Consider the following 27678-nt stretch of genomic DNA (forward strand, 5'->3'; position numbering starts at 1 on the left):
TACATTGCTTTGATAAGATAAAAGTAGTGTTAAAATAACAGCTCTTAAGAAATCAAAGATGCACTAACCTTTTGTTTCAGTTCATGTGTATCACTGAAAATGAATTCAATCACATACGGCATCTCAATAGACATAGTCAAAGAGAAGCTAGCAAAAATGAAGAGAAAGTTGTCTTAGTCTACGATCTTAAATTTCTATCTGAAATTATTTCAAACAATTCTAAATGGAAATTTAAACCAGAAAACCAATATCCATTGAATTGACAGGTTTTATATTTTAGGTACTAACCTTTGCTTTGTTCCTATTTCTTTTATACAAATCTTCTCTACTGTATCCTGTTAAAAGAAAAATACATTTGTATAACTAAGCATATATTAAGTTTCACAATGAGACTAAAGTGAATGTAATCTTGGCAAGGCCACAACTGTCAGCAAGACAGCTGGTTTCACTTTCAAGCAGTGAAACACAGAAAGTTTGCTCATGGAATGACAGGAACTTCTAAAATACAACTCACCATTTTGACAGAGATTTTAAACTCTACATATGTCTGTGTGTATACACACACACACACGCACACACACACACACACACATTTTATACATGTGCTGTACATACAAAGTAGGAAGTTTGGAGGGATATACCGAAGTATTAACCATTAACTCTGGGCAATGGGATAAAGGATGGTTTTAATTTTCTTATTTTGGCTTATTTGTATTCTCTATGCTTATCTAGTTCTTCATGATGAACTTGCACTACAGATATAACATTTTTTGAGTGATTAAGCAGAATAAAAATATGCTTATTGATCATATCTGTAACTTTTATTCTTTTCATTTTATACACATAATGTATCTAAATGCATGTCAGTAAAATTAACTTTATGCCTAAAAGATTATTTTACATGTTTTTCTCCCCAGGCATAAATTCCTCCACAGCCCTCCACCACTCCCCCTCCACTGCTGCCAAAATGCTTCTTCAAATCTTATGCGTACAAACCTGAAGGTTTTCATTCAAAGCCTTGTCCTGTTGCCAGGGTGCTACGGTGGCGGGCATGAAAAAGACACCAACAGTGCCCAGGATGCTGAGTTCTGTGATGTAGGTAATTTTTATAAGAACCTTAGCCTTAGGGGGTAAGTTTCCAACACTTACAGTAAAAACGTCCTGAAACAGAAACATATGACTTAGCTTCCAACTTGAAAGCATACCCATTATATGCCAGCTAACTCCACGTACTTCTTAAGCAACTTGAATGACAACCTGCCAAATTCTTCCTCAGAAAACAGTAATAAAACCTAAAAGACACATTGGTGGGGCTAACGGAGAATCCTGGAGCCATTCACCAGTGGTGGGAACAGGGTGATGTCCGTGGCAGGCAGATGGAGAGGGGCCCCCTTGGCAGCGGAACTGGGAAGAGGCACTCATGGACTCTGCCCCAGGGGGCTCTCATGTGTGAGCTCTCTGCACACGTGGGCTCTGCTGCACGGGTGGGCTCTGCTGCACGGGTGGGCTCTGCTGCATGGGTGGGCTCTGCTGCATGGGTGGGCTCTGCTGCACAGATGGCCTCCACAAAGCCCTTTCTTGAAGACCCTCCCTGACCTCCATGGCACCCAACACCACTTTTGCCAGCAGCTGTAGAACCAGGGCAGTTTTTTCTAAGCTTGGCCCTTGCTTAATTATTTTACCCTATGGTAATTTCTCATGTTATTTTTATTTTTATTTATTCATTATTTAGAGATAGGATCTTGCTCCGTCATCCAGGCTGGAGGGCAGTGGTGCAGTCACAGCTTAATGTAGCCTTGAAACCCCAGGTCTAAGCCATCCTCTTAAGTAGATGGGACTACAGGCACGCACCACCATGCCTGGCTGATTTTTAAATATTTTTGTACAGATGGGGTTGCCCAGGCTGGTCTCAAACTCCAGGCCTCAAGTGACTCTTCCACCTTCTGCTCCCAAAGTGCTGGGATTACAGGTGTGAGCTACCACACCCAGCCTATCATGTTATTTTTTTACTAAAAAGTCTTTAGCTTTCTTTTAAAGGGATGTTGATAATAGCTATATAAGGTGGCAACCCCATGACTAGCTAGGGCAGAAAAAAGAGGCTAGATACATTTTTTTCTGATAACTATGCAGAGATCCTCTCAACATCCCCAACTATGTTCACCATTCTAGTTGACCACCCCATCATGAAAATTTTGTATATTTAGATTAGGATTAATTTAGGCTTAAAGGTTAAATTATTACTTTTGACATCAAAGACATCCATTTACAGGATGGAAACAGACAATAAAGAGATGATTATTAAATACTTAATAGTGCTAGCCCTTAAAAGAAATGTATGTATAAACACCTGGGGTTCATTTGAGACACTGCCACTTAATAGAGTGGGATTGCAGTTCTGTTTCTGGGTAGGATATAGGTGGATGCAGAAAATGTCACTTCTGTTATAACACACCAGGCAATCTACAAAATCATAACTTGTTTTGAACTCATCAACCAAGCGAACTGAATTCCAAAGAGGGGACAGATGGGACACAGGATCTGTGTGAACTCCTCCCGGCTGAGAGTGGGTAAGCTTACTGGTTTAGAAGAATTGGGAGCTCCTGACCCAAGGGGAGTTTGCATTCTCTTGCAGGCGTTTCCCCATATCCCCACAGCCTTCCACTGGGCCCACTGGAAAGGCTGAGCAGGGCAGGAGACCAAGGGGAGCACCTCTCCGTGGAGCAGGTGTGTGGGAGGTGCTGGGGCCACTTCCCTGGATCCTTTCCCCACATGAAGCAAAAGCCTCCAGCTGCTGGGGGAAGGGCAGCAAACTCTCACTTCCAGAGCTGCGGGGAAGGGGCAGAAGTAAACCAGGGATCAGAAGCCTTCCTTTCTAGCCCTGTGCCCAGGTAAAGCTCCACTGCTTTAGAGAGAAACAGCCACCTCCCCATGGGGCAGGGGATGACACCCTCCTAGGCCCAGGATCCTGCACTAGTACAAAGCAGGGGTTGCTACAACTGGAGGAAAGGCAGGAAACCATCTCCCAAACAACTCTTAACAGACACAAGGCAGAATTTGGCTGCCACTAAGATAGGACAATGAACAGAAGTGCTAATTAGTTCCCATCCTAAGGTCCAGGACTGCAGGCCCTGCCTAAGACTGAGGCTGAACCAGAAGAATGCCCCTGCCCCACCAGGAGCCTAGTACAGCACATCAAGCAACAGCAGCCTAGCACTGCGGGAGGGGAAGAGTTGCTGTAATCACCTCTGTCGGACAGTGTGCAGAGTCTGCTGAAAGCTGGGGGCAGAGAATGAACCTCAGTGAGAATTGTTCCGGATCCAGAACCCAAGAGGCACAGGTAGTGGCAGTCCACCACTGGAGGAATTTGAGACGGAGAGTAATAATAACAACAGAGAGTAATGATAACAACAGCAGAACTCAAACTCAACTCTTCAACCCCTACACTAACCTGAAAGAACAGGAGTTGCCACTTCTGGGCATAAATGTCATTTATTTCAGTCTCTCTTCTTCTTTTACACACAATGTCCAACATTTAATCACAAATTCCAAAATATACACATTTTTAAAAAGCAAGGAAAAAATGACCCAATGTCAAGATAAAGCAATTAACAGGCAGATTCAGAGATGACCATGACACTGCAACAGACAGGACTATGATTAATATATGAAAAGACATACAGAAAAGGTGAGGAATACATATGAATAGATGGAACCTTTCATTAGAGAGACTGAATTATATTTTAAGTGTCAAAAATGCTAGAAACAAACACATTATCAAAGTTGAAGAATTTGACAAGCCTATCAGCTGACTGACAATAGCTGAGAAAAGAATGAATGAACTTGAACCTAGGTCAATAGAAATTATCCAAAATAAAATGCAACAAGAAATGAAAGTGAAAACAGAGCTCCAAAAGCTGTGGTGCAATATCAAATACGGTCTAATGTATATGTATTGAAGTCTCAGAAGGAGAAAGAGAGAGAATGAGGGAGAAGAAATATTTCAATAGATAAAGATCAAGACTGTCCCAAAATGAATGTGAGACAATCCAAACTCAGAGAACTCCAAGCAAAATAAGCAATAAATTTAAAAAATAACATAAACACATCATAGTCAAACCACTGAAAACCAAAGATAAAGAGAATCTTGAAGATAGCTTGACAAAAAAAGACACCTTCACATATAGATGAACAACACAAGAATTAGAGCTGACTTCTGCTCAGAAACCATATAAGCCAGAAGACAATGAAGTTAACATATTTAAAATGCTGAAAGGAAAACAAATAAACTGTCACCTAGAATCCCATACTCAGCAAAAAATATCTTTCAAAAATGAAGGTGAAAGACTTTGTTAGATAAAAGAGGAATGCACTCTTTGCTAGCACACTTGCGCTAGAAAAAGAAAATAAAGAAAACTCTTCAAGCAGAAGGAAGATTTCTTTGTATCTATAGAAAGAAATGAAGAGCACCAGAAACGGTAAAAATGTGAATAAATGTAGAGACATTTCCCCTTATTTTTAATTGCTTTAAAATATAGTTGATCATCACATAAACAGAACTAAAGACAAAAGCCACATGATTATCTCAATAGACACAGAAAAGGCCTTTAATACAATTCAACATTGCTTTATGTTAAAAACTCTCAGTAAACTAGTTATTGATGGAACATATTTCAAAATAATAAGAACCATTAATGACAAACCCACATCCAATATCATACTGAATGGGCAAAAGCTGGAAGCATTCCCCTTGAAAACCAGCACAAGACAAGGATGCCCTCTCTCACCACTCCTATTCAATATAGTATTGGAAGTTCCGGCCAGGGCACTCAGTCAAGATAAAGAAATAAAGGTTATTTGAATAGGAAGAGAGGAAGTCAAACTACCTCTGTTTGCAGATGACAAGATCCTATATCTAGAAAACCCCATCATCTCAGCCCAAAAGCCTCTTAAGCTGATAAGCAACTTCAGCAAAATCTCAGGATACAAAATAAATGTGCAAAAGTCACAAGCATTCCTATACACCAACAACAGACAAGCAGAGAGCCAAATCATGAATGAACTCCCATTCACAATTGCTACAAAGAGAATAAAATACATAGGAATACAGCTAGCAAGGGAAGTGAAGGACCTCTTCAAGGAGAACTATAAACCACTGCTCAAGGAAATCAGAGAGGACACGAACAAATGGAAAAACATTCCATGCTCATGGATAGGAAGAATCAATATCGTGAAAATGCCCATACTGCCCAAAGTAATGTATAGCTTCAATGCTACTCCTATTAAACTACCATTGACATTCTTCACAGAATTAGAAAAAACTAGGTTAAAATTCATATGGAACCAAAAAAGAGCCTGTAGAGCCAAGACAATCCTAAGCAAAAAGAACAAAGCTGGAGGCATCACACTACCAGACTTCACACTATACTACAAGGCTACAGTAATCAAAACAGCATGGTACTGGTACAAAAATAGACACATAGACCAATGGAACAGAATAGAGATCTCAGAAGTAACACCACACATCTACAACTGTCTGATCTTCAACAAACCTGACAAAAACAAGCAATGGGGAAAAGATTCCCTATTTAATGAATGGTGCTGGGAAAACTGGCTAGCCATATGCAGAAAATTAAAACTGGACCCCTTCCTTAAACTTACACAAAAAATAACTCGATACGGACTAAAGACTTAAATATAAAACCAAAAACTATAAAAACTCTAGAAGAAAATCTAGGCAATACCATTCAGGACATAGGCACAGTCAAAGATTTTATGAGGAAAACATCAAAAATTGCAGCAAAAGCAAAAATTGACAAATGGGATCTAATTAAACTAAAGAGCTTCTGCACAGCAAAAGAAACTATCAGCAGAGCGACCAGACAACCTAGAGAATGAGAGAAAATTTTTGCAATCTATCCATCTGATGAAGGTCTAATATCCAGAATCTACAAGGAACTTAAACAAATTTACAAGAAAAAAAAACCCCATTAAAAAGTGGGCAAAGGACATGAACAGACACTTCTCAAAAGAAGACATTTATGTGGCAAAAAAATATGAAAAAAAGCTAAACATCACCGATCATTAGAGAAATGCAAATCAAAACCACGATGAGACACCATCTCATGCCAGTCAGAATGGCGATAGTTAAAAAATCAAGAAACAACAGATTCTGGCAAGGCTGTGGAGAAATAGGAATGCTTTTACTCTGTTGGTGGGAGTGTAAATTAGTTCAACCATTGTGGAAGACAGTGTGGGTCTTCCTCAAAGACCTAGAACCAGAAATACCATTTGACCCACCAATCCCATTACTGGGTATATACCCAAAGGAATATAAATCATTCCATTATAAAGATACATGCATGTGTATGTTCGTTGCAGCACTATTCACAATAGCAAAGACATGGAATCAATCCAAATGCCCATCAATGATAGACTGGATAAAGAAAATGTGGTACATATGTACCATGGAATACCATGCAGACCATGTCCTTTGCAGGGACATGAATGAAGCTGGAAGCCATTATCCTCACAAACTAACACAGGAACAGAAAACTGAACACAGGATGTTCTTACTTACACGTGGGAGCTGAACAATGAGAACACATGGACACAGGGAGGGAAACAACATACACTGGGGCCTGTAGCGGAGGCAGGGAGAGGGAGAGCATCAGGATAAATAGCTAATGCATGTGGGGCTTAATATCTGGGTGATGGGTTGATAGGTGCAGCAAACCACCATGGCACACATTTGCCTATGTAACAAACCTGCATGTCTTGCACATGTATCCCAGAACTTTAAAAAAAAAAAAGATAGTTGAATATATAACAACACATTGTAGAATTTATAATATATGAAGAAATAAAACACACGACAACAATATCACAAAGGATATGGGAAAAAAGAAACGAACGTATACTGGTTGTAATGTAATGTATTCTGGTTGTAAGGTTCTTACATATGAAGTAGTATAATATTGTAGGCTGTATGTGGTAAGTTACAGATGTATATAGTAGTAAACCCTAAAGCAGTGCTGACCAATGTAACTTTCTATGATGATAAAAATGCTCTACATATGCACTAAGTAATAAGATAGCCACTGGCCACATAAAACATTTTATTTTATATTTAAATGTAAATATACACATGTAATTAGTGGCTACCATATTTAACACATATTTAACATGTGGCTTTAGAGCAACAATCAAAACTTAATTTTTTTATTTTTTGAGACAGGGTCTCGCTTTGTTGCCCAGGCTGTGCAGTGGCGCCATTATGGCTCATTGCAGCCTCCACCTCTCAGGCTCAAGTGATCCTCCCAACTCAGCCCCTCAAGTAGCTGGGACTACAGGCATGCATCACCACACCCAGCTAATTTTTGTATTTTTTGTAGATCTGGGGTTTCACCATGTTGCCCAAGGGGTCTTGAACTCCTGGGCTCAGGTGATCCATCTATCTCAGCCTCCCAAAGTGTTAGGATTACAGGTATGAGCTACCACACCTGGCCAACAATCAAAACTTTTTAAGAGAGAGAGAACTGGCTGGGCGCAGTGGCTCACGTCTGTAATCTCAGCACTTTGGGAGGCAGAGGCAGGAGAATCACTTGAGGTTAGCGGTTTGAGACCAGCCTGGCCAACATGGTGAAACCCCATCTCTACTAAAAATACAAAAATTAGCTGGGTGTGGTGGTATGTGCCTTTAGTCCTAGCTACTTGGGAGGCTGGGGCAGGAGAATCGCTCAAACTGGGAGGCAGAGGTTAGGTTGCAGTGAGCCAAAATCACGCCACTGCACTCCAGCCTGGGCAACAGTGAGACTCTGTCTCAAAAAAAAAAAAAAAAAGATAAAATTAATAAGCCAATAATGGAGATACAATGGAATCATTTAAAAAACAATACAAGAGAAAGCAGGAAAAGCGAGGGAAAGGAACAAAGAACAAATGGTACAAATAGAAAACAACTAGCAAGAGGGTAGATATAAATCTGACCAGATCAATAATTGTATTAAATAAAAATGACCTAAACAATACAAAGTGCAGAAACTCACAGATTGGATAAAGCAGCAAAATTCAACAGTACGCTATCTAAGTAGTATAGGGTTATAGTGACAAGTCAGTCAGTCTAGATGTTTTGAAAAGGAGAAAACCATCAAATGGTCACATAAATTGAAGTCTTGGAAACACTGCCATTTAATCTGGCAATGAGGAGGACATAAGTCGTCCTAGGCTGGGCACTGTCTTCATCCTTGGTTTCGGCACCACAATTTTCTCTTTATTGTACCACTAACTATCCTTTTCTGTTACTTCCACACTTAAATATTGGGGATTACGAGCTAGACCTCTATCTTTACAAACAGTATATTAAGAGTTATAAGACAAATATGTCCAGGTTGCCATGGGAAAATGAAGCCATGGGTCTTTCCGGGGGAAGGCAGGAAAAGCTTAGATGGAGGGATTCCTAAGCTAAGACTTGTTTGTTTGTTTAGAGACAGAATCTTGCTCTGTTGCCCAGGTTGGTGTGTAGTGGTATTATCAGAGCTCACTGCAGCCTCGAACTCCTGGGCTCAAGTGATCCTCCCGCCTTGGCCTCCAAAAGTGCTGGGATTACAGGTATGAGCCACTGCACCTGGTATATATGGTATTTATATAACAATGCATGAATACCATATATTATGATATGAGAACATTATAGTCACAAGATGTCAATACATTCTGGGAGACCTGAAGGCTTGGGTTAGCAATAGTTCTGATCAGACTTTACCCATAGGTAATACCTTCTGTGAAGGCTGTTTTCTTGTGGACCCTATTCCTAGGGAAATATGTAAGTATTAAGGAGGAAACATTTACCAACACACGTAGGAGGATAACCTGATAATATTAAGTGGCAGCCTCTCAAATGAACCCCAGGCTTCTATACATACAGTTTGGCCATACATAGAGCCAGCATTCTTAACTGTTCAATAATCACCTCTTCATTACTTATTCCCATCCTGCAGGTGGATATCTTAGATGTCAAGAGCAATAATTTACCCCTTTGTCTATATTAATCTTGAATGTGCCCCTAGCCCCAGCAAACATTAAATTTTCAAAACACCATGGCCATGTGTCACCCTCAGAGGCGATACTCAAACATATGGCCCCATCTGCAAGAATAACTAAAATACCTGCACTAGAGTTAGACGCTGACTACACACAATCTAGCACCTGCCAGAGGCCTCGTGAAAACACCTGGTATTTAAGGAAAGTAGTCTAGTGGACCTGCCAGCTATTCCCTCTTCCACACTGTCCACGTCACGTCCCTGCTAAAGCTAATCACCTAAAAGCACAGGAGCTGGCCCAAGGAGGACCCGGCAGAAATGCCTCCCTGCTTTATGATTGGACCATCTGCTAGGTGAGCTTACTTCAGGAAAATTGTAAATATATCACACTCCTTTTTTTTTTTTTTTTTTTTTGAGATGGAGTTTCGCTCTTGTTGCCCAGGCTGGAGTGCAATGGCACAATTTTGGCTCACTGCAACCTCTGCCCCCCAGGTTCAAGCGATTCTCCTGCTGCAGCCTCTCCAGTAGCTGGGATTACAGGTACCTGCCACCATGCCCAGCTAATTTTTGTACTTTTAGTAAGAGGGGGTTTCACCATGTTGGCCAGGCTGGTCTCAAATTCCTGACCTCAGGTGATATGCCCACCTCAGCCTCCCAAAGTGCTGGGATTACAGGCATAAGTCATTGCGCCCAGCCAGTATATCACACTCTTATCAGAAGATGAAAGTTATATACCTCAAATGTTATCTTTTTGTCTGTCATTCCTTCTGGGAAACTCAGTTCCCAATGACAGGCCTAGCTCTTCTTGTTTGTCTGGAACTACTGATGCTGTTTCCTCCTTTGTTAAGTCAAATGGGTCTGACTGGCGTGGCTTCCCCTTACTCAGACCAAGTGGAACTCTGGGGCCTACAACAGTGCAAATTATCTTAGCCTCTAGCATGAAATTCGTATTTCATATCTTGTTCTAACTCTCTTTCCCTCTCCTGTATGCATGCGGCATGCACACCAAGCCATACCGGAGCATCCTGACTCATCAGGTAAGCGCCATGGCCCTGGGTCACGGCTTCTAGGTACTCTTGCTGGGCTTCTTCCTTCTCTTTAATCTGGAAAAGATGAGTTTTAAATCATTCCTTACATGAAGAGTGACTTCAGGCTTTAATGAAGAAAACAACATCAATGTTTACTAAAACCCAGGCAAAAACTAAAAACTGAGTCTAAGGTGAATGGAAACTTAAATGAAGTGATCATCGAAATATACTTATCTGATAAGAACTTGAACCAGAAAAGGCCAACTAAAGAGAAGTCTCTTTCAGTTGGGATCAAAATATTTCAGAATCAATAGTGAAAAAAATTTTTCTGGTTGGGAGTTTATGTGGAACAAAACATAATAATTACTTTAAATTTGGGAAATTGTAGTTTCTAATTGTAACTGTGGACTAATCCTTACAATAAACAAAGAATTAATCAACTGTTGTTTCTTTTCTTTTTTTTTAGAAAGTTACAATAGCTTTCATTTCAGCTCGAACCCCTGACCTCAAGTGATCCACCTGCCTCAGCCTCCCGAAGTGCTGGGATTACAGGCATGAGCCACTGCACCCGGCCCTCTTTAACTTTTCATACTGAAATCACTCTTACGGTGCCAAGGCAAAGAATGTGCAAGACACTGAAGATGAAGACTGGACAGATGGGGGTAGAAACCCTTCATCACGGAGGGATGCTTGAGGGAGGCTCACTGCGCAAGAACTGATTCTTCAAAGAATATTCTCGTTTTATGATAAGGCTGCTACTCAACCTTGTAGCCATGGGGACTCCAAAAACAAAGGTTCTGGGAAATGGAAGCTGACTTTGAAAGCCGAGAGCGGGCACGATGCATCTTCTTGCCTTACCTCTCCAACTATGTGCTTCCCATTGATGAAGGCTTCGAAGCCACACACAGCGGCCTTGTCATCCAAAGGAAAGATATATTTTGCCTCAATGGGCACGTGACTTTTATTTGTGTATGTCTGAAAAACAATGACCTGAAGAAGAAAAAAAATCCATACAATTGATGAGACCACATGGACTACATTTGCAGGAACAAGGACGAACGAAAATGATTTTGCATATTTATTTGAATTTCCTTGAATTTGTATCACGTCCCTCAAATTCCCAACCCTGGCTTCACTTCTGCAATGGAGAGCCCATGTCATGTGATAAAATGCACCAGTCCCACGGTTAGGTGGTTCATTCATGTCTGACTGGAATAGAAGCCACCTGAAGTCTTACCAACACTGACTTAGCAGACGCAATATAGCTCTTGTTAAGACAGCTGGAAAATTGCCCCTTTCGTTTTGTGGGCTTTGATGCCTCCTTCGTGCCATGTTGGCTGGAAATGATTCCAGAATAGTCCTTCTATCCTATCAGCTCTCAGGACTTGGCCTTTCCTCCTGGGGACCTCTCTGTGGCTTTCCCCCTCTCTACACAGCCCTCATCTAGCTCCTCATCTCTGTGTGCGTTGGTTCTTCCAGAATCAAGTCTTCTCCACTACTCTCTGTTGTCTCTATTATCTAATTAATCTTTCCAACAGACTGTTTTCATCACTCCCTCACTCAGGAAAAGGCGGGAGGCTTTAAATATTTGAAAATTAAGAAAAAACTCCTCAGACATACAATAAACAGTAAGATTTTAAACATGTGACAATAATAAGGCAAAAATATTTAATGATCTGTAATCAATAATCCAGGGAAGACACCAAAATGAAAAATTAAAAAAAAAAATCTAACTTATTTGAAAACATTGTCCACACCTGGATTTGCTGCAAGCTTGGCTGCCCCTAGGGTGTGTAGGGTGCCAGGCAAAATTTTTCAAGGAGTCCTTGTTAATATGAGCAATTTGAGTCTCCCCAAATCAGCAGGTCAGCACCGTCCTGGAGACAGAATCTCTTGCCATCCTGCAAATGAACACCTTGCTGGCCAGTGGGTAGGATTCCTGGAATCCCGGTCTGGCCAGCCACCCAAGAGGAGGCAAACGTGCGTCCTGGAGTTTCTCAGCGATCTGGGCTATGCTGCCTGCAATGACTGCTTAGAGTGTGCCTGGTGAGGAGGCACCAGGACTGGGGCCCACCTAGTACTGACTGGGGGGACGTCAGACACTGTCCCCTTGACTGTGCACGGAACTCCTTCTCATCCTGTCTTGGATTTCCTCAGTTTTACGAAACCCTCAAAGGCATGTATGCTTGCCCTGAGTTTGATGATCAGGATCACTATCTAATTGTACTTGGTGTAGACTAATGTTTCTTCCTACTCAGTAGCCTTCCTGCCTGTTCTAGTTAGCAGGCCCGCCTTTGCGCAGGAGTCCCCAGACATCAGGCCTGTGGCAGCTGCACTCTCTTTGCATATCACACTGTGTGGCTGGGCACTCACAAAGGTCAATAATTTTAGATAACGACAATAAAAGTATTTTTACCAGGCCTTAGAACAGAAACTAATACAATGTAACAAATTTTGACATCTTAATTTTCTTCCATTAGATAAAACCATGATGTAACTAAGCTTAACATCATCAATTTATTCCAAGAAGGGTCAAAATGTATGAGCCATGCACATATAAGAATCTACACCCCAGCCTCTGCTTGGATACTCAAGCTAAATCTACAGTCTGGCTGTTTCATCATAAAATGAGTGAGAAATTCACTGCTAAATCGAGTTATTTTGGGGCAAACTTCCCCAGGGAACAGGCCTCTTCGGGTTTGAAATATCAAATGGTACAAGTCATCTAATCCCAAGTAAGGCATGGAGGACACACGCCTCTCCCTGTAACCTCGTCATAATTTGTTTTGCACACAAAAACAATGCCCTAAGTCCTTTATATTTATTAGATTGAATAGCCACTACACTGATGGGCAGATATTATTATTTCCATTTTACACATGAGGAAAACGAGGCAAAAGAGTTAAGTAACTTTCCCAAACTCACAGCACTAGAAAGAATAAACAAGAATTCAAAGCTAAGCCTTACAAACTCCGGATCCTTTGCTTTGTATGATCTACCATGCTGCACTATGGTGTACTGGTTAAGAATCTGGACGCTGGAATCAGAATGATCTGAGTTCAAATTTGGGCTTTATCATATTGTTTGTCTCTGGGCCTCAGCTTCTTCTTCCAAACAATGGGCATAATTATAGCACTTGGCATGGAGTCTGAGAGAATTAAGTACTGCATGTGGAAAACTCGGCTGAGGGCCTGACTCTTAGGAAATGGTAACCATTATGTTTACAGATCCTAAGTGGTGCCAAAGGGATTGGTGGAAATGGAACATGTCCCATGAGCCCACAGCTGGGTCTTTTCAAAGTCTATGACGTTGCTCTGAGCTGCCTTGAGGATGTGTGTATGGGTCAGAGTGGGCCCAGGGGTGGAGGTCAGCTATATCCAAACTGCTCTTCTCACCCAACGCCCCGTCTCCCCAGATTAAGGTGATCACTGAAATGGAACTAATTTTCCTCTACAGGGATCAGAACATCATGGCACTGTACTTGAACGTTCTTAATCTCCTCAAAGGCCTTTATGGTTGTTCAATGCAATCTTCAGAGTCAGAAGCTGATCATGAGGCCAAATCTTAGCAAACCAATTCAATTTTAGAAAACCAAAAACTTAACTTTCCAAGCTCTACCACTGCATCTGGCCACTTGGCACCCCTGAAACGCTGCCTTCCATCCTGTGACTGTGGATGATGAACCTGCTGCGAGCTCCTGGCTGCGGCCCCAGCACCCGCATTAGATAACCCTCCTGTGATGCTTGTCTTTTGCTTTGACCAGTTCTTACTCACTTGGTATTTAATGCTCTTTCTGAGCTTCAGTGCAGATAATTTAATAAGGTGGGATTTTCTCCTTCTCTTTCAACACCCTGAGTTTTTTTTTTTTTTTTTTTTTTGAGACAGGGTCTCACTCTATCACCCAGGTTGGAGTGCAGTGGTGCGATCTTGGCTCATTGCAACCTCTGCCTCCTCCAACCTGCCCTCCTGTGACTTTGCCCATTCTAGTAATGGCAAGCCATCCTCCCATCTCGACCTCCCAAGTAGATGGGACTACAGGTGTACGCCACTGCGCTCAGCCAATTTTTGTAGAGATGGGGTTTCTCCATGTTCCCCAGGCTGGTCTGGAACTCCTGAGCTGAAGCAATCCTCCTACCTCAGCCTCCCTCCCAACGTCCTGGGATTACAGGCATGAACCACCGCACCGGCCACCACCCTGGTATTTATGATAGCAAAATGTGTATATTTTAGTAGCTAACAAAGGTTTGGGAGAACAGTAGAATTCATCTCTCTCTGGGAAGAAAGTGCTTTGAGCACTGCCTGGCACAACATAAGGGCAATATACATGTTTGTTACAAAGAAATGTTAAATAAATAAGGGCATAATAAAGTTCTAAATTGAGTCTTTGGAGATATTTCGATAAACGTAAAATTCAGAACAGTTTACCAGGAAAGTCTTTTCAACAATGTTTCCTATTTATGCAATAAAACATAGAGAAGGGTATAGAGAAGGAAGCAGTTCCAGCAATTCCCCTCTCCCAGGTCGCCAGGTTTCCCTCCTGCGCTGACTCCCACACATGCTGTTGTTTCTTGCATCTTAAAATGAGAAAGAAAATACTCAACCCCACTTCTCTTCAGCTGCTGTCTCATCTTCTCTCCTCTGTCTCCCAGTTCTTCCTCCCATTCCCTCTTGAACTCACTCTGATCAGCCTTTCACCCCCACCACACCATCAAAAGGCAAAGGTCACCAACAATCTCATTGCTAAATCCAGTGATCAGGGCTGGGTTGTTATTCATGAGACCCACCAGCCTCCCCTCCCTGTTCAGCTGTCCTCGTGTGTCTCCACAGCCGCTCCCTCCTGGTCTCTGTGGCTGACTCAGCCTCCTCCCCTACGTCTCCACGTTGGCCTCTGTGCTCTACTGATTCTCTGGGTGTTTAATCTGGGCTCATGACTTTAAACACTATGTGAATGCTGCTGACTCCCCACTTATAAGTCCAACTTGGGTCTCCTCCCTGGTCCTATGTAGTCACAAGACCTACGTGGCCAAAGATAAACTCCTGATGGCCCCCAACCTGCCCTCCTGTGACTTTGACCATTCTAGTAAGTGCAAACATGATCCTTCTAGTTATTCAGGGCAAACACTCTGCTGTCTTCCTGGGCCGCTGTCTTTCTCTTGTGTCCCGTCCCCACCAGCAAATCTGATTGGCTCTGCTCTCAGGCCTTGGCGGACTCCATCACTTCCTACACCCCCACTGCAAACCTTCTTCTCCACATCACCAGGTCCCTTAACTGAATTGTCAATCGTCTCCTCTATGTGATGTGACGTTGGGCCTGCTGTGTCCCCTTCAGGGCTGAGACTGCTAGGAGTGTCACCTGTGGGGCGCCTCCCCAGGAACCATCCTCAGCCAAAGACAAACTGCCTTAGCCAAGGTTCTGACCCCTCCCCGGAGCAGCCCACATCCCAGGACTGGCCCCAGTGGGGCTACAAAGCCCGGCCCCCTTGCCTTGATTCAGACCTTCTCTCAAGGACCACTCTGGCCCAGAGCTTCCCCCAAGATCATCTGAGGACTCTGTTGTCTCCTCGGCCACGTCCTGCCTCCCTCACTCCCTCACAGGTGCGGCTCCCGCAGGCACAGTCCCACAGGCTTCCTGAAAACAAATTCCATCCAGAGTCTGCTTTCTAGGGAACTTGACCTAACATTTCTCCCACTGGGCCTCTTCCTACTGTTCCCAACATGGTGGCCAGAGTGAGCTGGTTAAAACAGGTCTGTTCATGTCATTCCTCTGCCAAACATCTAGAAGCTTCCATTTCACTCAGAGTCAAGGACAGCATGACCTGTGTACTGATGTGAGAGCCCCTCACCTCTCTGACTCAGTCCCCATGCACTCTCCCCTTTCCACCCCACTGCAGCCACAGTGCATCTCCTTGGCGCGCCTGGGCCAGATCAGCCTCCTTCCTACCTCTGAGCCTTGGCATGTGATGTTCCCGCTGCCTGGAATAAGCATCCCCTGACGTCCACACAGTTTAGCCCCCACTTCCTTCAGGTCTGTATGCAGATGTCACCTTCTCAGGGAGGCCTCCATGGCCATTCTGTTTACAGGTTCAAAGCCCCTGTCTTTCACAGCTCCTATCTGTGAAAGCAGCTCCTCCTGCTTTCCTTTTTCTCTTTAGCACCTGTCACCACCTAACATGTTATGTGTTTCACTCTTTCATCATGATTATTGCCTACTCCCCCACACAGTGTGTGCTCCACAAGGGCAGAGCTTTTGTATTGTGCACTGCTGGATGCTCAGAGCCTAGCTAGTCCCTGGCATGGAGTGCTCAGTGAATATCTCTTGAATAAAATACATTTTAGAAATCTATCTATTCCCTTCAGTTCATGCAACTGCAATCAAATTCTCATGTATGGTTTACATCCATGTAGTTTAAGTGTCATAAAGCCACAGACAACATACCTGGGCTACAGTGTCTATGATTCTCCCTTTGATGTGGACATCCTCCAGAGGAACCAAGTTCCCAGAGGCATCCTGGAGGCCGGCCTTGGTGCTGCTGGAAGTTTTGGCATCTGGTAACTGGTAATCTAAACGTTAAAAATGTTACTATTAGCTTTCAAAACCATCCCTGTCTATTTTTGTTATCTTGATCTTTATTCCTTCTTCAAGCCTTCATGCATTTTATTTTAGGGAAAATGGGCAAATAGCATTTTATGATTTTCAATAGCCAATTCTGAAAAGCAAGTGAACCCACATGAGAAAAATGAGAGGTGCCTTCTGCCTTTTTTTTTTTGAGATAGCATGTCACTCTGTCACCCAAGTGGGAGTGCAGTGGCACAATCTCTGCTCACAGTAGACCCCTCCTCTCTGGCTCAGGTGATCCTCCTGTCTCAGCCTCCCGAGTAGCTGGGACTATAGGCATGCACCACAATGCCCAGCTAATTTTTTGGTATTTTTTGTAGAGATGAGGTTTAGCCATGTTGTCCAGGCTGGTCTTGAACTCCTGGACTCAAGGGATCTACCTGCCTTGACCTCCCAAAGTGCTGGGACTATGGGCGTGAGACACTACACCTGGCCTGCCTTTTTTTTTGTTTTTTAAAGACCCTTCAGCTTAAATTTTTTTTTCTTCTTTTCTTTTTTTTTTCTTTGGTAGAGATTGGAGTTTCACTATGTTGCCCAGGCTGGTTTTGAACTCCTGTGCTCAAGTAATCCTCCTGCCTTAGCCTCTCGAGTAGCTGCGACTACAGACATGTGCTCTTCTGCCTTTTTAATGTAGAGACTGTGGGGTGTCCTCCTGAAAACACAGCATTACTTGACATACATTTAAACATACACACAAATACACAGAGGTCTTCAGACTGTCTGAAGTGTGGCTGAAGCCTGAATCCAGGTGTCTGCATTCCCTGGCTTATAGTGTGGAAGGGCTCGGTCACTATTATTTATGGTGCCACACAAGCATTTTGGGATGGCATCAAACAACGTAGATTTTCAATCCAAGGAAGACTGAATCAACTCCTATGGCAGCATATTGAAAAATGTACACATCCTATTCTAAGTGGCACAAACATACAGATAAGGTTAGGAAATATAAATACATATTGTCTTGCCAGATATTTCACTTAATGACTCCCAGAGAAAAAACTGGAGTCACCCCTGAACACACATGAACTCATGCGTTTCTGACAAAAAATAATTTGAGCATGGTCAAAAATGTTAATGTGTTCTTACAGTCCTACTAATTAATACTGTAATTGTTTGGCCTCATGATACTCTGAGAAGTGAATATCCTCTTGTATGCTCGCACTACTATGGCTAACACACGCACCACACATGGCAATTTACTCAGTGCCTTCAATTTCCCCTTCAGCCCTTACAGCAATTCTGTCATGCGGGTACTGCTCTCATTCCCATCGGAGAGAAGGTGGAGCGCAAAAGGTCATGCAGTTTCAAAACTGCAAGGTGGCAGGGCGACACTCAAACCCTGGGCTTCCTGGCTCTACAGCGGCTCTGCTGTCTGCTCTCCCCACCCCATTACACTTTCTGCACCATGACATCTTAGCAAGGTTCCACAGGTTTTAGCCTTGGCTATTCCTGAAGCGAATAAGCTCAACTTCAGTGTGTTAATGAAGTCACATGGAATTTCTCAATCATCCTAGTTGTTATGTACGCAAGATAAAAAAGGAAATGAGGCTGGCCATGGTGGCTCATATCTGTAATCCCAGCATTTTGGGATACCAAGGCAGGAGGATCGCTTAATGCCAGGAATTTCAGGCCAGCCTAAGCAACATAGTGAGAATTTGTCTCTAAAAAAAAAAGTCACGGATGGTAGTCCTAGCTACTCAGGAGGCTGAGTCAGGAGGATCATTTGAAACCCAGGAGTTTGAGGCTGCAGTGCACTTTGATCACACACTGTACTCCAGCCTGGGGGACAGAGTGAGACCCTGTCTCAAAAAAAAAGAAATATATATATTTTAAAATTAAGTGCTTTATTTTGATACTAGGCAGAGGGGTTTGACTGATGTTAACACTGAGAGAAATTTGTGGGAAACAATTTTGAGATTGAAAGGAAATGAAATACTTATGGATGAGGTCATAGATATAACAAATGCAAATATACATTCCATTGAAAATATAACATTTGAGGTCTATAAATATAATAACATAAAACAGCATTCAAGAAAATTGTCCTACCTTCAACCTTTGAAAAATTTGAAAACTCAGGTCTGTATTCCTCTAATTCAGTATGATCACTAGGATGAAAGTCCTTTATCTGATCTCCAGGCATGGAAAATTTAATAATATATTTCATTTTAACCTGATTGGTTTTATAGACAACAAATTCATCATCCTAGAGCAAACAGAAATCAGTAGGTGATTAACAACAGAAGCAACAAAAAACCTGTATTGGCAGATGTTTTCATAAAAGCATGTTTGCTAATTTAGAAAATGTTGAATTAATTCATGCAGTAAATATATAACAATTATTTAAACTTAAGCATATTTAATGAAAATAGGAGCAAAAAACTAAGGCCTTTCTTTGAGCATTCAAGACCCTCTTTGCTTCTTCCTTGAAATAAAAATACCTCAAAGTCTGTGGTGACAGAGGCTGTTTGCGAAACTCCATGCACACTGTCGTAGCCTGGTGGTGCTTCAGTTAAGGAAAAGTCCTTCTCATGTAAGTCCATACACTTTCCGAGGGCTACGTCACAAATGAGCAGGAGTCTGGTGCCATCTGTCTCTCCCGGGTGTGAGTACTTGATACTTGTACTACATGCGAAAGGAAATAAACACATATTTACAGCTTAGAGTGACTTGTCAATAACATACTATTGAAAAGACTTTCCTGGTAAACTGTTCTAAATTTTCCTATTATTGAAATATCTCCAAAGACTCAATTTAGAACTTTATTATGCACTTATTTATTTAATATTTCTTCTTTTTTTTTAGACAGAATTTTGCTCTGTTACTCAGGCTAGGGTGCAGTGGCATGATCATAGCTTATTGCAGTCTCCAACTCCTGGGCTCAACTGATCCTCCTGCCTCAGCCTCCTGAGTAGCTGGGACTATAGATGTGCACCACACCTAGCTAACTTTTAAAATTTTCTGCTAAGATGGGGTCTCACTATGTTTCCCAGGCTGGTCTCGAACTCCTGGGCTCAAGTGATCCTCCCTCCTCAGCCTCCCAAAGTGCTGGGATTACAGGCATGAGCAACCATGCCTGGCCTATTTCGCATTTCTATGTGACAAATATGTATACTGCCCTTATGTTGTGCTAGGCAGTGCTCAAAGCACTTTGTTTCCAGAGAGAAATGAATTCTACTGTTCTCCTAAATCTTTGTTAGCTACTAAAATATACACATTTTACTATCATAAATACCAGGGTGGTAAAGAGAAGGAAAAATCACCACCTTATTAATTAGGAAAAAGTAGATTTAATTCTCTGCACTAAAGCTCAGAAAGGAATAAGAACCGTGGGTACCAAGTGAGTAAGAACTGGTCAAAGGGAAAGACAAGCTCTCACAAAGCCTCCTGAAAGGAAAAACAAACATTTCAAATTATATCCAAATGAGAAATGTTGTTTTATCTTTCTTTGGGAATCAGCAGCTTTAATAAGGCAACTCTTGCTATTAGGAGCACAGACTAGGACACACCTTTGGACACAACATTTTGGAGACGCATGTCTGTTTTTTAAAGATTAAGTTCAAAATGCCGAAGTATGGCCAGACGACCCTTCTTTGTTTCACCTACTGAAAAAAAAAATCAGTTCCCCCATTCCTTCTAAAATCCTCTCCCCTTTGGAGGGCTCTTTTCCTGCAACTTACAAGCATGCTTTCTTCCTTCTCATTAAACCCCACTCTGGACTTCTCCCTGGAGCTCTCTCTATTCCTTCCTATCTCACCACGTTCTGGCAAAGGGGGCCCAGCTGGGCTCCTGAGTCTGGTGGGGACGTGGAGAACCTTTATGTCTAGCTCAGGGATTGTAAACACACCAATCAGCACCCTGTGTCTAGCTCAGGGTTTGTGAGTGCACCAATTGACACTCTGTATCTAGCTACTCTGGTGGGGCCTTGGAGAACCTTTGTGTGGACACTCTGTGTCTAGCTAATCTGGTGGGGAGGTGGAGAACCTTTGTGTCTAGCTCAGGGATTGTAAACGCACCAATCAGCGCCCTGTCAAAACAGACCACCCTACTCTACCAATCAGCAGGATGTGGGTGGTGCCAGATAAGAGAATAAAAGCAGGCTGCCCCAGCCAGCAGTGGCAACCCGCTCTGGTCCTCTTCCGCACTGTGGAAGCTTTGTTCTTTCGCTCTTTGCAATAAATCTTGCTACTGCTCACTCTTTGGGTCCACACTGCCTTTATGAGCTGTAACACTCACCACGAAGGTCTGCAGCTTCACTCCTGAAGCCCGCGAGACCACGAGCCCACCGGGAGGAACGAACAACTCCAGATGCGCCGCCTTAAGAGCTGTAACACTCACTGCGAAGGTCTGCAGCTTCACTCCTGAGCCAGCGAGACCACGAACCCACCAGAAGGAAGAAACTCCGAACACATCTGAACATCAGAAGGAACAAACTCTGGACACGCCGCCTTTAGGAACTGTAACACTCACCGCGAGGGTCCGCGGCTTCATTCTTGAAGTCAGTGAGACCAAGAACCCACCAATTCTGGATGCATTACTATTGCAATTGTTTTGGGCTGCAACAATCTGTGCCCATACAAGGTGGTGGGCTTGGCAAATGTTTTGTGTGTTCTGACTGCTCCACTGACCAGTGGTTCCCTCATCTCTCTCCTCCTTCTCTGGCCTCCCTATTCCCTGAGATACAACAATATTGAAATTAGGCCAATTAATAATAACCCTACAGCGGCCTCTAAGTGTTCAAGTGAAAGAAAGGGTTGTACATCTTTCACTTTAAATTAAAAGCTAGAAATGATTAGGCTTGGTGAGGAAGGCATGTTGAAAACCAAGACAGGCTGAAAGCTAGGCCTCTTGTGGCAGTTATCCAAGTGGTGAATGTAAAGAAACAATTTTTGAAGGAAATTAAAAGTGCTGCTCCAGTGAACATAGGAATGATAACAAAGCAAAACAGCCTTATTGCTGATATGAAGAAAATGTTAATGGTCTGGATAGAAGATCAAACCAGCCACAGCATTCTCTTAAGCCAAAGCCTAATCCAGAGCAAGGCCCCAACTCTGTTCAATTCTATGAAGGCTCAGAGAGGTGAGGAAACTGCAGAAAGAAGGCCTGAAGCTAGCAGAGGTTGGCTGAGGTTTAAGGAAAGAAGCCATCTCTATAACGTAACAATGGAAGATGAACCAGCCAGTGCTGATGTAGAAGCTGCAGCAAGTTCTCCAGAAGATCTAGCTAAGATCATTGATGCAGGTGGCTTCACCACACAACAGATTTTCCATGTAGACAAAACAGCCTTCTATTGGAAGAAAATGCCATCTAGGACTTCCACAGCCGGAGAGAAGTCAATGGCTGGCTGCAAAGCTTCAGACGACAGGCTGACTCTTGTCAGGGGCTAATGCAGCTGGTGACTATAAGCTGAAGCCAGTGCTCACTTACCATTCCAAAAATCCTAGGGCCCTTAAGAATTGCGCTAAATCTACTCTTTCTGTGCTCTACAAATGGAACGACAAAACCTGGATGACAGCACATCTGTTTACAGAATGGTTTACTGAATTTTAAGCCCAATGTATAGATCTACTGCTCAACAAAAAAGGTTCTTTTCAAAATATGACTGCTCACTGGCAAAGCGCCTAGCCATCCAGGAGCTCTGATGGAGAGGTACAAGGAATTTGTTGTTTTCATGCCTGCTAACACAACTTACAATCTGCAGCCATGGATCAAGGAGTAATTTCAGCTTTCAAGTCTTATTATTTAAGAAATACATTTTGGGCTGGGCGTGGTGGCTCATGCCTATAATCCCAGCACTTTGGGAGGCCAAGGCAGGCAGATCACCTGAGGTCAGGAGTTCGAGACCAGCCTGCCCAATATGATGAAACCCTATCTCTACTAAAAATACAAAAATTAGCCAGGCGTGGTGGCATGCGCCTGTAATCCCAGCTACTCAAGAGGCTGAGACAGAAGAATCGCTTGAACCCAGGAGGCGGAGGTTGCAGTGAGCCAAGATCACACCATTGCACTCCAGCCTGGGCAACAAGAGCAAACTCCATCTCAAAAAAGAAAAAAAGAAAGAAAGAAATACATTTTGGCCAGGTATGCCTGTAATCCCAGGAGTCTGAGGTGGGATGATCACTTGAGTTCAGCAGTTTGAGGTTCCAGGGAGCTATGGCTATGGTTGCATCTTACTGTACTCTCACCTGGGCAATAATGGATCAAGACCCCAACTCTAAAAAGAAAAAAATACATTTTGTAAGGCTATAGCTGCCATAGACAGTGATTCCTCTGATGGATCTGGACGAAGTAAATTGAAAACCTTCTGGAAAGGATTTGCTATTCTCCTTGCCCTTAAGAGCATTTGATGAATTATGGGAGGAGGTCAGCCTATCAGTATTAACAGGGGTTTGGAAGAAGTTTACTCTAACTATCTTGGGTGACTTTGAGGGGTTCAAACTTCAGTGAAGAAAGTCACTGTAGATGTGGCAGAAGCAGCAGGAGAACTAGAATTACAATTGGAGCCTGAAGATGGGACTGAATTGCTGCAATCTCATGATCAAACTTGAAAGAATGAGGAGTTGCTTCTTATGAGTGAAGAAAGTGGTTTCTTGAGATGGAATCCATTCCTGGTGAAGATGTTGTGAACACTGTTGAACTGACAACAAAGGATTTTGAATATCACATAAACTTAGTGGACAAAGCAGCAGCAGTGTTTGAGATAATTGACTCCAATTTTCAAGGAAGTTCTACTTTAGGTAAATGCTATCAAATAGCATCTCATACTACAGATAAATCTTTCATGAAAGGAAGAGTCAATTGCTGAGGCAAACTTCATTGTTGTCTTATTTTAAGAAATTGCCACAGCCACCTCAACTTTCAGCAACCACCACCCTAATCAGTCAGCAGCCATAGACATTGACACGAGACCTTCCACCGGCAAAAAGACAATGGCTCACTGAAGGCTTAGATGATCGTTAGGATTTTTAGTAATAAAGTAAGTTAAAATTAAGGTTATGTACATTGTTTTTTTTTTAAACACAATGCTATTGCACACTTTAATAGACTAGAGTGTAAACCTCTTATACTCATTGGGAAACCAAAAATGTGTGTGACTCACTTTATTGCAGTATTTGCTATATTGCAGTAGTGTGGAACCAAACCCTCAATATCTCCAAGGTATGCCTGTATAAGGAATCATCTAATAACTTTTCATCCACTAAGGTCCTAAGGCTCATCCATTTGACATGTGTAGCCACAGTCCACTTGTTTCAACTGAAGGACAGGACTTCATGTAGGACTCCACCAAAATGTACGGATCCATTCCACTGTCGATGGACATCTGCATGATTTCCAGTGTTCTGTTACTACAGTGCTCTTTTTTTCTTCTTTTCTTTTTTTTTTTTAAGAGATTGGGTCTCGCTTTGTCTCCCAAGCTGGATGTAGTGGTTCAGTCATACCTCACTGTGGCCTTGGACTGCTGGGCTCAAGCAGTCCTCCTGCCTCAGCCTCCTGAGTAGCTTTGATTACAGGTGTGTGACACAATGCCTGGCTAATTTTAAAAAGTTTTTTTTGGCCGGGCGCGGTGGCTCACGCCTGTAATCCCAGCACTTTGGGAGGCCGAGGCGGGTGGATCATGAGGTCAGGAGATCGAGACCATCCTGGCTAACAAGGTGAAACCCCGTCTCTACTAAAAATACAAAAAATTAGCCAGGCGCGGTGGTGGGCACCTGTAATCCCAGCTACTCGGGAGGCTGAGGCAGGAGAATGGCGTGAACCCGGGAAGCGGAGCTTGCAGTGAGCCGAGATTGTGCCACTGCAGTCCGCAGTCCGGCCTGGGCGACAGAGCGAGACTCCGTCTCAAAAAAAAAAAAAAAAAGTTTTTTTTAGAGATGGGGTCTTGTTGTGTTGCCTAGGCTAATCTCAACCTCCTGGACTCAAGCAATCTTTCTGCCTCAAACTCCTGAGTAGCTGGGACTACAGGTGTGTGCCACTGCACTCAGCTCATTTTTTGAGACAGAATCTTGCTCTTGTCACCCAGGCTGGAGTGCAGTGGCACCATCTCAGCTCACTGCAATCTCTGCCTCCTAGGTTCAAGCCAGTCTCCTGCCTCACCCTCTTGAGTAGCTGGGACTACAGGTGCACACCACCACGCCCAGCTAATTTTTGTATTTTTATTAGAGATGGGGTTTCGCCACATTGGCCAGGCTGGTCTCGAACTCCTGGCCTCAAGTGATCTACCTGCCTTGGCCTCCCAAAGTGCTGGGATTACAGGCATGAGCTACTGCGCCTGGCCCCAGCTCGTCTTCTTTGCTATTAGGTTTCTATTTAAGTCTTTTGCACATCTGCTTATAGGATTGTTTATCTTTTCCTTATTGATTTGTAGGAACTCTTTAAATATCTTGGATCATTATCCTTTGTCCTGGGCCTGAACTCAGTCTCCATCCTTTAATTAGCTCTGCAACCTTAGGCAAGTTCCCTGACCTCCCTGAGTCTGTTTCCTTGCATTAAATGATGTCACAATACCAATTATGAGGTTGGCAGATGATGTACATGGGGTTCTTCTCACTGTGTTGCCCAAGCTGGACTGCAGTGACATAATCATAGCTCACTCCAGCCTTGAATTCCTGGACTCAAGTGATCCTCCTGCCTCAGCCTCCCCAGTAGCTAGAACTATAGGTTCTATTAGCGCCACCATGCACGGCTAATTTTTTAATTTTTTTGTAGAGATAGGGTCTTGCTATGCTGCATAGGCTGGTCTTAAACTCCTGGGCTCAAGTGATCCTCCCACCCTGGCCTCCAAAAGAGCTGGGAGTACAGGCACGAGCCACCATGTCTGGCATAAGGGCAGATTTAAACATTATCAAGGATGCTGAAGATGAAATAGTATTCCAGCCACATTGAGGTCATATATAATAGATAAATCTGTGTTTTGGTTGAGAAACTCCCTCACCAAGGAAAGACAGAAGAAAATACACAGCAAGTATTCAGTAACGATTCTGTGATTAAGGATCGAACATACCTGAGCGAATCACTGAAATAAATCCCACTTCCAAGGTTTCCGACGTCTGTTCTTTGCACACCACGATCTTCCACTACTTTGGGTAAAAGCAACCCTCTGAAAAGAGAAGGGCAGGATAAGGTGTAAGCCCAACACTGACTGCATCTCTTCCTTGCTCAGAATTTTGGCAGGTTCCTACTGAACTTCTGGCATTCAGAGAACTCTGCAATCAGGGTGAAGCCATGGTTGTTTCCGGAAACACAAGGGAAATTTCTGCCTTTTATTATATAAACATCTATTGTTTGAATTTCACATTAGGAGATTGAATGAATTTTGTAAAATAGCTTTTGGGTTTTGGTCCTACTTAGAAAGCTCATCCCTACTTAAAGATTATTTTAAGAAGATTCTCCCATTTTTCATTTAGTATACTTTTATGGTTTGATTTTAAATATTTAAATATTTGCTCTGTCTGGAGTTAAAGTATGAGAAATGAGGTAAAGGTCCAACTTTGTATTTTTTCCTTGTGGTTACCCATTTATCTCTATAGATAGTATTGAAGAACTTGTCTTTCTTCCACAGAGATAAGATCTACTTGTATCATATCCTAAATCTTCTGTGTTTTTGGGTTCATTTGTGTTTAATATTAATGTCACCCTCATTGTGCTTCTTTTCCAGAATTATTCTGGTAATTTCAAAATATAAAAAAAATATGTTGTAGAATCAGCTTTTCACTTCTTTAAAAAAATCTTATTGGTAATTTTATCATGATTGCACTAAATCTATAGACTAATCCAAGAAAAACTGGCATCCTTCTGATTCATGCAAGTTGTCTTTTGGGTCCCTCAGTAGCAGTTTAATGGTTTTTTGGTTTTTTCTTTCTTTTCCCCAGGTGGATCTTGTATGTTTCTTTTTAAGTTTCTTCTGAGTAATTAATGGATCTACATTTAACAATATTTTCTCCTGCTCCTGTGACTTCAGTTTCAGCCCTAATATTAAGTAGTAATTCAAAGCAAACAGAATCTTAGAGTTATGTTTCAAATAAACAACTCATGTTGTCTGATGCACACTCTAATTTCTGGACTCTTCTCTTTAAATATTGGGCTATCCCTAGATTAGATACACATGGAAGACTCATGAATATAGAATCACTTTTCTTCATACGATACAGTCTTCAAGAAGCAATTCATACCTATATACTACACTTTAAAAATAATAAATACATAATTTTTCAAAATAGAGATAAGGTCTTGCTAGGTTTTCCAGGCTGGTCTTGAACCCCTGGCCTCAAGTGATCCTTCTGCCTCAGCCTCCCAAAGTATTAGGATTACAGGTGTGACCCACCATGCCTGGCCATAAATATGTAATTTAAATTACACACTTAATTATAAAGTGTGTAATTTTCTCCAGAATGCAGTAAGCTAGCTGATTTTAACTGAAAAGACTCACGTAATATAGAAAAAAGTAGGAAAAAAAGAAGTAAAACACTTCACATTTGTGAGCCTGAAATTTTTGAAAAATAAAGATGGCTACTCTTACCGACACAAGATTCCCACGATGTTTTGTACAGGAGAACCATGCAACAAGGGCCTCACATTACCAAGTTTGCTCAAAAACTCTGTGGTTTCATTCACTCTGCCAACTCTAAATATCTGCAAGACATCCACTGGGCTCTTACTGTAAGAATTAGAAGAAAAGCCTTTAGATTACATAATTGGAAACAAAACAAAAAGTCATTATAGCAGAAGAAATCCCAAAAGAGTCCAAATGTCCATTATCAGGAAACTGATTCAATGAGTCACAGCACAGCATATCTTGGAAGTATTATGTAGGTATTAAAATAACCATATTATTTAACAAAAATAAGGATATGTAGTAAAGTATACAGTAAAATATAAAATTTAAAAGATTACAAAACTTTATACATAGTATTATCCCAATTTTGTCAAATAAACAATAGTATATGGAATATATAATTCTTGCTCTGGGCAACAGAGCAAGACCATGTCTTTCAACAACAATAAA

At 42.3% G+C, this 27678-nt stretch overlaps 1 protein-coding gene across 1 annotated transcript in view; it reads right to left on the reverse strand.

Moving 5' to 3' along the window:
- PARP4 (poly(ADP-ribose) polymerase family member 4) overlaps positions 1 to 27678 on the reverse strand; it is a 91848-nt gene that overhangs the window by 38045 nt on the left and 26125 nt on the right. Inside the window, exons 11-20 of the mRNA NM_006437.4 lie at positions 27193 to 27330; positions 25678 to 25773; positions 19118 to 19301; positions 18726 to 18882; positions 16497 to 16621; positions 10919 to 11050; positions 10049 to 10135; positions 997 to 1161; positions 289 to 335; positions 69 to 147 (exon numbers count right to left, since the gene is read on the reverse strand). Coding sequence (NP_006428.2) covers positions 69 to 147; positions 289 to 335; positions 997 to 1161; positions 10049 to 10135; positions 10919 to 11050; positions 16497 to 16621; positions 18726 to 18882; positions 19118 to 19301; positions 25678 to 25773; positions 27193 to 27330 — 1210 coding nt within the window. The remainder of the gene's footprint in view (positions 1 to 68; positions 148 to 288; positions 336 to 996; positions 1162 to 10048; positions 10136 to 10918; positions 11051 to 16496; positions 16622 to 18725; positions 18883 to 19117; positions 19302 to 25677; positions 25774 to 27192; positions 27331 to 27678) is intronic.

The sequence above is a fragment of the Homo sapiens genome, chromosome 13 (genome assembly GCF_000001405.40).
Source record: "Homo sapiens chromosome 13, GRCh38.p14 Primary Assembly".
NCBI classification, from domain to species: Eukaryota; Metazoa; Chordata; class Mammalia; order Primates; family Hominidae; genus Homo; species Homo sapiens.